General features: G+C 42.1%; 1 annotated feature.

The window, feature by feature from the left end:
• Positions 7,659 to 8,858: an enhancer, noted in NCBI's record as "P300/CBP strongly-dependent group 1 enhancer chr15:38885521-38886720 (GRCh37/hg19 assembly coordinates)". NCBI's record gives its function as "activates an origin of replication core promoter dependent on BRD2, BRD4, P300/CBP, MED14 and CDK7 cofactors, with strong dependence on P300/CBP, by STARR-seq in HCT116 cells {active_cell/tissue: HCT116}" and the evidence as "EXISTENCE:reporter gene assay evidence [ECO:0000049][PMID:35650434]".

The raw sequence follows: 11,975 nt of genomic DNA, 5'->3' as shown, positions 1-11,975 counted from the left end.
TAACGGTAATGGACTGGGAGGAACATAGCCAGGCCTGTTTGGTCAGATTCTTGTCTGTGTCCCTGTGTCTTCAGAGATAAGGGTGTTCTTTTCTTCCAAGTATAAGGAGGGCCCCTCTGGAATGAGGGTCTTATGAACTGCTTCAGGGAAAAAGGTTAGAGAGTGGCCTTCCTAGGTTTTATAATGTACCTCACGGGAGAAGGGCAAGGGGAAGGGGAAAGTGGCCTTTCTGCTTCTGCTGTCTTCTCAGATCCCAAGGGGCCATATTTGGGATAGTACATCCTAAACTCCATCATATGAGAGTCATGATTTTATGTTTTTTAAAAACTTATTCTCTGACAGTAGGAATTCCACAATATGGTAACTAACATTAAAATCCTCCCTCACTCCTCTGCTCTTGAGTGTGACCCAAAAATTAGAGCAGATGCCAGACCATTCTGGCTCCCAAAAAGATGCAAGTTTGCAAGTAAATAGACAAAGTGTTTCAAAGTTCCTTGTGAGGGGACTAGGATCTCATGAACCATCTTTGGTAGAGACTCCCTGGGGCACTGAGGCTGCACATGGCCTACCTGAAAAGCTCAGCCAGCAAGGTCTGTGTACGAGCCGGGCATATCTTCACATGTATGCTACACCTAAACTAGGAGAGCTTGGACAAAATCTTCCTAACGAAAGGGGTGGGGAAAACTAAAATGAAAAAAGCAAAAGAGAATTCTCACTGATATGACATAAGTTACTTGAGAATTTTGGACTCTTCAGATTGCACCTTTTCTCTGCAATATCATTAACTCACACATATCAGCATGGACCAGAACATGGCTATAATGAACAGGGGGTGGACACCGACTTTACCCGAGCATTCCATCCTATGCCTCTTCTATTACTATTTGTTTCCTTTAACCCTACTTTGTGTAAAAAAAAAAAAGAAAAACAGGGCTGGAGGCAGTGAGTAGTGAGTGGCCCATTGTCATCCAATTGCCTGACTCCACGCCTTGCTTGCCACTACCTCTGATGCCCATCTACAGACAAAAGCAGATGAGAAATAGCACCACAAAGGCAAGTACCAGTCATCCCTTAGTATCTGCAGAGGACTGGCTCCAGGACCCCCTCTCCAACACACCTCGGATACCAAAATTCAAGGATGCTCAAGTCCCTGATATAAAATGGCATGGTATTTGCATATAACCTACATACATCCTCCAGGATACTTTAAATCATCTCTAGATTACTTATAATACTTAATATATTTTAAATGCTTAATATAATTTAAATGCAAATTATTGTTATACTGTATTGTCTTATTTGCCTTATTTTTTATTGTTTTTTTTTTAATATTTTCCATTCCCAATTGGTTGAATCTGTGAATGTGGAACTCACAGATGTGGAGGTGTGACTATAGCCTGGTGTCATTAAATAAGAAACAGAAAGGAGACCCAAAGACCATCTGGTTTCCAAGCATGGTCCATAGACCACCTGCATCAGAATCACCTGTAGAGCTTGTTAAAAATGTGGACTCCTGTTGCCCACTTCTAAAGATTCTTAATTAGTTGGCGATGCTTATGTATTCCATAGTTTGTAAGTCATTATATTTTAGTCCAAATATCAAAAAGAAGGGAGCATGCTGCTCATCCTCTGTGGGCCTCACTTAAAAACTAGTCAGGGTAGAGCCAGACTGGGCTCCAGATATTCCACTGTGCAGGCCCTTCCCACCATGCTCTGCTGCCTGTCAGGCACAGTTAAGGTGGAGAAATGCAACCAGCTTGATAAAAGTGTTTTGCTTTTCACCATCTGTCTCCCATTTTCAAACCATCTGTTCCTTCTCATGAATTATTTTGGCTATTAAGGCACTAGAGGGTGATGATTAAAGCTGAATTCTGGACCCAGAATACCAGGATTTAAATTCTAACTTTGTCACTTTCTAGCCTCGAAACCCTGGGTAAGTTACATATCCTTTCTGTGCCTGAGTTTTGTAGTCTATAATAATTCTGATGGGGCTCAGGATATACCACCCCAAAATATGACTGTAGGAGACCAGAATATGCCACTCCAAAATATGCCTCTTTGGCATATTGATGATTTTGAGCTGGTTATTTTGAGAAACTGAAGACAAAGAAGTGGCTCTGAAAAGTTACCATTTTGTAAGAGAAATTTACATTTATAAAGAAAATCTCCATTTGTAAGTGTGTCTCCCTCTGCTAAATCACTAAAGATTGTTAACCAGTGGATGGAGAAGGCATGGACTTAAATCTGGATAACAAACCGTACCCTGTTTTAGGGTCCTTTCCCTGGCCATCTTGTCTTAACCAGGCTTTCCCCCACAACAAACACACACACCCTTCTTTCATAGAATGACTGTATTTAAGACTTAAATGCTTTCTTTGAGATCTACTCTAGAGATTTACCTATTTCTCTGGGTTTTCTCCCATGTATACATGAGGTATACATGTTCATAAACTTCTGTTTGTTTTTTTCTTGTTAATCTGTCTTTTGTTACAGGGAGTCCCAGTTAAGAAGAGTAGAGAGAAAATTATGTTTTCTCTCCTACATAGCTACTATTATTATTGTAAGAATTATACTTATTAAAGGAAGAGTGATGGTTTAACACAGCTTGTGAGAATTCAAATAATAGTGCACGTACTGGGTCTTAAACAGAGCCTGGTGTGTCATAAGTGCTCAGTAACTATCACCCTTATTATTATTGGCTTCTCTCCTATGATTTCCTTAAGATAGGAAGAGAGGGCTGGGCGTGGTGGCTCATGCCTGTAATCCCAGCACTTTGGGAGGCCGAGGTGAGTGGATCACCTGAGATCAGGAGTTAGAGACCAGCCTGGCCAACATAGTGAAACCCTGTCTCTACTAAAAATACAAAAATTAGCTAGGCATGGTGGCAGGCGCCTGTAATCCAGCTCAGGAGGCTGAGGCAGGAGAATCACTTGAACTCAGGAGGCGGAGGCTGCAGCGAGCCGAGATCATGCCATTGCACTGCAGCTTGGGCAACAAGAGAGAATATCTGTCAAAAACAAAAAAAGGAGAAAAGAAAAGATAGCAAGAGAGTTTAACAATTAATTGGGCAATCATGGGTATAATACTGAGGGGCAGTTGCCCCGTTACAATCTTAAGTCACTGGCCCATTACTCCCTCCCTTGGCCATTATCAGTCAAGTTCACTGCCCTTGAAGTTCTGCCCAGGTGCAGGTTTGGTGAGGACTGAGCTTGGCTGGTACAGAACTGTATGAGGCAAGTGCAAGAAAGGAAGGGAACTCAACCGTGTCTCTGTAACTATGCAGTATGTCATTCTAAAGTATTTTTCCTTTGGTTAGCTGTCAGTACAATTAAATGTGCATTTTAATACTTCTTCCCCTGATAAAAATCAGAAAGACATCTACTAAAACAGGGCATAGGCCTCTCAGGGAAGAAAAAGCTAGAACATCTTTCCTCCCATCCCCATTTTATCTTGTTCTTATATACCCCACCTCAAGCTTTCCTCCCAGACCTCCAAGTTGGTGACTTTCTTGGACTGGAACTAAATCCTGAGATCAATTCAGCACCACTTGCTGTGGCAAAGAAGAACTAGATTTCTTAAGCATTTAGTATAAATATCATCTTTTTAAAAGAGGATGACATTAAGAAGTGGTAACTACCAAACCAAAGCCTGTTATTTAAATAAAGAGCAAGTGTTACTTGTCATGAAGCTGAGTGTGTTGAAGTGTGCCCCAGCAATGAAAATCACTTTAGATAATCACTCTTCTTGCTTTTTAGAGAATTCATGAGACTCACCACGCATATCGAGGAGTTGGAAAGTCATTAAAAGTGGCTGAAGCATGGCATTTTTCAGCGCACCTTGCAGCACAGCTATTACACTGCCCTGGGGTAACACAGCTTGGTGAGCATATGAGTTTCTGAGACACTGCCTATTTATTAAACGAGTATTCATTCTATGATGCCCTGGGCACTAGAGGCCAGAGGGGATGTATAAGAAGATTTTGCTTTGGGCAGGGCACCATGGCTGATGCCTGTAATCCTAGCACTTTGGGAGGCTGAGGAGGGAAGACTGCTTGAGCTCAGGAGTTTGAGACCAGCCTGGGCAATACAGTGAGACCCTGTCTCTACCAAAAATTTAAAATTTAGACAGGTGTGGTGGTGTGCTCCTGTAGTCTCAGTTACTCTTGAGGCTGAGGTGGGAGCATAGAGGTCAAGCCTGCAGTGAGCCATGATTGCACCACTGCACTCCAGCCTGGGTGACAGACAGAGACCCGACCTCAGAAAAAAAAAAAAAAAGACTCTACTTTTTCTGGCCACTTGCTATCTGTTTAACTCTTGGAGTAAATACTGTAAATCTCTTTGAGGTTCAATTTTTCATCTGGAACACAGGGAGCAAAATAATTAACTACATTGGTTAGGATGCTTTTGTGGGGACTGTAAGTTACAGAAAAAGCATGACTCAAGAGCTTTAACACAATCATGGGACATCCCATTTTACATAACAGAAAGTGCTCAAGTATGAGCACAGGTATGCCAGGTAATTGGGGCCTGCATCTGTTCTCTAGGCTCTACCCCTCTCCCTCTGTGTTGGCTTCCTTTACAGCATGGCAATTCCAGGCAAATGTCCAAACACCGCAAGGTCCAGGGGAAGGAAGAAGGATGTCTTCCTGCATGCCTCATTTGTATCAGTGAGGAAACCTTCCCTGCTTCCCAACCAGGTACCAGACCAAGCTTCTCCTCCTACTTCATTAGCTGATACTATGTCACATGACCACCTCTGAACCAATCACTGGTAAGAGGTTACATGATTGGCTTAGACTATTCAGTACTTTCCCCTGGGCTGAGGAGAGAATCACCTTCCATGTCGACCAGGGGATAGGGAAGAAGACAAATACCTAAACGAGAGCAGGACTCTGCCAACAGGGATGGAGCAGTAGCTGGCTGGTGTGTAGGCACCCAATGCTGTCTCCTACACTGCCCACCGAACTCTTGTGATGAATAGATGAGACCATGAATGAAAATGGCCTACCACAGCGTCTGACTGTGAGGATAATAATAGCAGCTGACATTTTGGAGGATGTATAATGTGGTAGGCACTTTAGATGAGTTATCTAGTTTAATTAATACTCTGTGGGGTAGGAACCATTATCATGCTCATCTTTTTTTTTTATTTTTTTTTTATTTTACTTTAAGTTTTAGGGTACATGTACACAACGTGTAGGTTTGTTACATATGTATACATATGCCATGCTGGAGTGCTGCACCCATTAACTTGTCATTTACATTAGGTATATCTCCTAATGCTATCCCTCCCCCCTCCCCCCACCCAACAACAGGCCCCGGTGTGTGATGTTCCCCTTCCTGTGTCCATGTGTTCTCATTGTTCAATTCCCACCTATGAGTGAGAACATGCAGTGTTTGGTTTTTTGTCCTTGCGATAGTTTGCTGAGAATGATGATTTCCAGCTTCATCCATGTCCCTACAAAGGACATGAACTCATCATTTTTTATGGCTGCATAGTATTCCATGGTGTATATGTGCCACATTTTCTTAATCCAGTCTATCATTGTTGGACATTTGGGTTGGTTGCAAGTCTTTGCTATTGTGAATAGTGCCGCAATAAACATGTGTGCATGTGTCTTTATAGCAGCATGAATTATAATCCTTTAGGTATATACCCAGTAATGGGATGGCTGGGTCAAATGGTATTCCTAGTTCTAGATCCCTGAGGAATCGCCACACTGACTTCCACAATGGTTGAACTAGTTTCCCATCTCAGGTGCAGAGACACACATAGGCTCAAAATAAAGGGGTGGAGGAAGATCTACCAAGCAAATGGAAAACAAAAAAAGGCAGGGGTTGCAATCCTAGTCTCTGATAAAACAGATTTTAAACCAACAAAGATCAAAAGAGACAAAGAAGGCCATTACATAATGGTAAAGGGATCAATTCAGCAAGAAGAGCTAACTATCTTAAATATATATGCACCCAATACAGGAGCACCCAGATTCATAAAGCAAGTCCTTAGAGACCTACAAAGAGACTTAGACTCCCACACAATAATAATGGGAGACTTTAACACCCCACTGTCAACATTAGACAGATCAAGGAGATAGAAAGTTAACAAGGATAGCCAGGAATTGAACTCAGCTCTGCACCAAGTGGACCTAATAGACATTTGCATAACTCTCCATCCCAAATCAACAGAATATACATTCTTCTCAGCACCACACCGCACTTATTCCAAAACTGACCACATAGTTGGAAGTAAAGCTCTCCTCAGCAAATGTAAAAGAACAGAAATTATAACAAACTGTCTCTCAGACCACAGTGCAATCAAACTAGAACTCAGGATTAAGAAACTCACTCAAAACCGTTCAACTACATGGAAACTGAACAACCTGCTCCTGAATGACTACTGGGTACATAATGAAATGAAGGCAGAAATAAAGACGTTCTTTGAAACCAACGAGAACAAAGACACAACATACCAGAATCTCTGGGACATATCATGCTCATCTTATAGATGAGGACACTGAAGCACAGATGGGTTAAGCAACTTGACCAAGGCAGAGTCTACATTCAAACTCAGACCATCTGACTTCAAAGTCTGATTCCCAGGTACTCATTCTGTCAGATTTACTACACTGATGTTAGTCAAATGCATCACCTCATCCCTTCCCTAATTTCAAGAAATGTATGGGTTTTAGGTTCAATGGGATTAACACACAAGAAAAACGAGAACAATATGAGAGAGCAGCTAGTGACACTCTCAATGGCATCACAGAGGAGGGAAAAGATCAATGCACTGAGCATAGGGAAAGACAACACAGGGGACATCAGGAAGGCCACCGACAGGGCCTGGGCTTGGGGCAGGTGTGAGTGTAGGGAGGCAATGAAGGGTACCCCAGACTGGTGTGGCAGCTTGTAGTTTCCAGGAATAAAAAGCTACTTTTATATGATCTGGGCAAAGGGAAGCAGTTTTGGTATCCACTAGTTAGAGAAGTGACAAAGCATTGCAGAGGTCCAGCCACATTCAGTTTTAGGAGAGAGACTGTGAAGGCTGCTTCACTCATGAAACCATGGGCTCTTGTGCTGCATTGCAATGGACTTCATGAGTCATACAACTTTGTGCAAGGGAAGCCCAATTCCATCAGTAAACTCTTAATGATCCTAATAGCCTTATACCTACTGCCCGTTCGTTCGGTCTGTAGTGTTATGAACTGCAAAAAGAAGTTTAATCTTGGTGGACAAGGCCTAGAATCCCCCTCCCACTCCCAAATCATGTCAAAACCTCCTTCTGCAGATTTGGATTGGATGAAGTTTGGTGCTAGAGTTCGAACTCAAGGTACCAACGCACATATCCTCATTTCTCACATCTCCTTAGCTCCCTAAAGATTATATTCCCAGGCCTGCTCTATGGGTGCCCACATCTTCCAAATGACTCTGGAGATGTGGACCTAAACTTCACATTCTTGTGAAAAGTGTCCTGGGTTTCCCAGTCAAAGACTTTAGAATACTGGACACTAGATGGTATTTCCTGAGGAATATGACTTGAGGAAGGAAGAGGGTTTCTCTTTACATCTTACACCATTTCCTATAGCACCAACTTTCATGCCAAGAAAGGACCTCCAAGGACATGCTCTGGGCAGGGTTTGGGGTCATATTTTTTTCCTACATTGATGTGTCTGAATCAAACTAATGTCCCTATCCTATTTAAAGACTTGTCTGTTGACAGGTTTTGGTTCTTGTTCAGCATCATTTACTTAAAGTTACTTCCCAGATTTCTTTGCTTTCTAACATTTAGGCATTAGGTACCTTTCTACGTTAATAAAACAGAACTAAGTTGGGAAAGGATGTTCTTTGGAGTCAGAGATGGATTCCAAATCACAGCATTGTCAATCACTGCTGGGTGCCTGTGGACCCAGGACTGAACTTCTGAGGCAAAGTTCTTGTGTGCCAGACAGCACAAGGCTCCCATCTTAACAGGGTTAAAAAAATAAGTATAAGGAAGGCATCTAGATCATTGTCTGGCACATAATTTATGTTTTAAGTGTTAGTTTCTCATTCGTCCGCCCCCCATCCTTTTCTCTTTAGAGAAAGCAGGGAAATATTCAAAATTGTAAAAGCAAAAGAGCGTTTTGTAGTTGTCATGATGCCTGATGATGCCACTAAGTTACTGTGTGACCTGGGGTGAGTCCTTTACCTTGTCTTGTTTCCATTTTCTCATCTACAAAAAGAAGAGCTTTCATATTCTCAAAACTACCCATATATTTTAAATTACATTTTTTAATTACATAATGTCTACATTCCCCAAGTTCTGAGTCATAAAAATTCCCGAAATTCATCGCCATGTCCAGGCTCCTGGGTCATCTCCCACCACTGGGTGTGGTCCAGTTTCTTCCGTTTCAAGTTTACCCACTGGAGCCCTCCTGCTTTTGATGTGTTGTCAAATGGCTGCTATCTAAGATTAACAAGTACTTACTGACCACTTAGGAAGGGGCAGTGGCAGGGATCCAGTGATAGGGATCTCCAAAGGACCCAGTGGCCAGACCTGTCTAGACGGCCAGCAGTTCAGTAAAAGTGACTGATAGCAAACACAGGTGGAAAAGAATGTAAGGTCACCTTGCCCTGTGATTTGCAAACTATGTGCCTCTGAGACCTGGATGTCCCTTAGAGCCCCTGGCAGCAGAAAGGGAGGGAAGGCAGAAGAAAACGGGCCCAGCCCCACTCCACCAGAGTGTGTTCACCTCTGATCCATTTATTTCCTGGGTTTCTGCAGAAGTTTCTGCTAGAAGAGTCTACTGACAAAAAGGGGAAAAAAAAGTCTTGAAAGCTACCCACTTTAATCTTACCCTTTCATTTTACATATAAGGAAACTGTCCTTTACACTTCAAAAGCCTCAGAATAATTCCTGTCCTCTTTAGATCCAACAATTCCACTTTCAGGTAAGTTAGTCCTAAGAAAATAATTATGGATTTGTGAATGTTTCAAGAATGTTCATCACACAATGCTTTACAGTAGAGAAAAAAATAATGGAAGCACCAGCAAGAAAGAGGAGTAGTTGAATAAATCTTTTTTTTTTTTTTTTTTTTTTTTTTGAGATGGAGTCTCACTCTATCGCCCAGGCTGGAGTGCAATGGCGCGATCTTGGCTCACTGCAAGCTCTGCCTCCCAGGTTCACGCCATTCTCCTGCCTCAGCCTCCCAAGTAGCTGGGACTACAGGCGCCCGCCACCTTTCCCGGCTAATTTTTTTGTATTTTTAGTAGAGACGGGGCTTCACTGGGTTAGCCAGGATGGTCTCAATCTGACCTCGTGATCCACCCGCCTGAATAAATCTTACATCCCCAAACATGGAAAACTGGGAGGTCTCCTATATTACAGATGAAAAGTACTTGTATGGAAAAAATGTTCATAATATATTGCTAAGTGGAACACAGGAACACAGACACATGCAGGTGTATTTGTTTTGCCTCTAACATCTCCATCTGTGTCATAGAACAGTCTCTAAAGGGACATCATTGTGTCCTGGCAGTCTGGCAGTCTCTAAAGGGACATCACTGTGCTGATAATGGTCTGCCATTGCCCTATGGCATCACCCATTCTTTCTCTCCTGCATGACCTCTTCACTGCCACAGCAAGACATCCATGCTACGCTGCCACGTCTGGATGCCCCAGTGCTTCCATTCCTAGTACATCAGAATTCTGCTGGGGTTTTGACAAAAACAGATAACTGTGAGCCACATTTTTTCTTGATCTTAAAACAGCCATGCTCATACTCAGAGCTGCACAGTCTTTCTTAAATGGTTCCATCCATTTCTGGCCATCAACCCCTATCCAGCAGGTGTCAAGTCCAGTTTGTCACCAAGAATTGGAATAGACACCCCGGAACCTTTCATTCTGCTTTCTGCTTCCACTTTCTCTGCCTTCTGTAACAGTAGAAGGTTCATTGCCTGATGCATGTGGCAAGTCAATATGCCGAGACACTAGGTCACAGCAGAGAAAGAGATTTAATCTTAGGGTCACCAAATAAGGATGTTGACAAAAAGAGTCAAACTCTGTAAAATATATGAAGAGATTTATTCTGAGCCAAATATGGGTGACCAATGGCCGGTGACACAGCCCTCAGAAGATCCTGAGAACATGTGTCCAGTGTAGTCAGACTACAACTTGGCTTTATACATTTTAGGGAGACATAAGACGTCAATCAATACATGTAAGATGTACGTTGGTTTGGCCCGGAAAGGCAGGACAACCAGAAGTTGGGGGGCAACTTCCAAGTCAGAGGTGGATTCAAAGATTTTCTAATTGGCATTTGGTTGAAAGTGTTAAGTTATTGTCTAAATACCTAGAATCAATAGAAGGGAATGTCCAGGTTAAGATAAGGGGTTGTGGAGACCATGGTTCCCATTATTCAGAGGAAACCTCCAGGTAGCAGACTGCAGAGAGAATAGATCGTCAATGTTTCTTATCAGACTTAAAGTCTGCTCTATTCATCATTCCAAAAGGGAGGAGGGTAGAATGAGACATGTCCAGCTTCCCCTTCCCATCACAGCGGGAACTGGTTTTTCAGGTTAATTTCAGAACTCCAGTGGCCGAGTGGAGGGGTCCATCCAGATGGTTGGGGGGCTTCGAATTTTATTTTTAGTTTACAAGGAGATGAGAAGAAACCTCAAATCCATCTCCCTGAGGAATTCAGGGTTAGGGTTTTGGAGTGGGCCAAAGTGTGGAGATCATTGATTATTTGAAGAGTGCAGGGGGAAGTCATGGGATGGGAAGATGAAGAAGCTGTATTCTCACACTGATCTCCTTCCTCTGTGTGGTCTTCAAACTGGTTGCTGGAATTTGGGGGTCTGAAAAACATCTTCCTTCATATCATAGCGCATACACCTGCACACATGCACACACTTACGAACACATAAAAACACATGCTCATAAACAGACCCACACATGAGAACAACACACCTAAATCCCAATGGTTCTTAGATTGCACTCAAAAAGTTGTGGTCCAATCAGTCACCCCAAGCCTCACAATCTTATGATATCTAGTTAAATTTCTCAAGTTTGGGCCAATTGGTATAAAGAAGCCCAGTGCCAGGTATTTTTGTTTGTTTGTTTGTTTTTAAAGTCTGACTTATAGAATATCTTTAAGGATACAGAATTTTGTATTGGTATTCTTATTTCTCAACTTCACAGGACATACATTAATTGAAGATTCTTTTAGAATGCTACCCATCTACTTTGCTAAACTTATCTGTAATTAGTACCCAGCCCCAGCATTTTAAAAGTTATGTGAATCTTCAAAGGTAGTCTTCTTCTTAGCAGGTTAACAATTTGCTCCCACAATCATATGCTTAGGCTTAATAAACCCTTTCTTCATACATATATTTAAAAAACAGAAGCTTCATCTCATACCTCTGGAATTACTAATCTCTAAAACTACTGAGTGTGGATTAGTGACATTTTACTGTGTCACTTATCTAATTGAAGAGCATAGAGCTCAGTCAAAATTAAGCAAAGATGGACCCTGATCCCTTTCCAGGCCATACCCTTTTTGGAACTAGTTTAGGGGTGTCCTGGCTGAGGCAGCTTCAGAGAAGATGGAAGGAGAGAGGCAGTAGACCTCTGAGATCAGCCAGCCCCTCCAGAAATCCGCTATATTTATGATCAACATTCTTATGATTTTGTTTTCTTGACAAAACAAGCTATTAAATTCAGAAGATATTTGACATTTATATTCATAGTAAAAATATAAGTATATTTTCGGTTCATATTTCCAAGTCTCAGATTAAAAAACAAAGGTGAGATATCCAAGGCCAACACTGAAATTCTTAGGGATCAAGCTGGCATTTGCCTCCCTAAACCACCAGACCAGGTGCAGCACAGAACAAGGGTTGCAGTGGGGATAACTTCCAGGATATAGAAAATGTTGGTAACCTTTTTTTTTTTTTTTTTTTTTGAGACAGACTTTCACTCTTGTTGCACAAGCTGGAGTG

Source organism: Homo sapiens, chromosome 15 (assembly GCF_000001405.40).
Source record: "Homo sapiens chromosome 15, GRCh38.p14 Primary Assembly".
In the NCBI taxonomy this organism is placed as follows: Eukaryota; Metazoa; Chordata; class Mammalia; order Primates; family Hominidae; genus Homo; species Homo sapiens.
The sequence above is the reverse complement of the archived record's forward strand: the minus strand, read 5'-3'. Positions and strand labels throughout refer to the sequence as shown.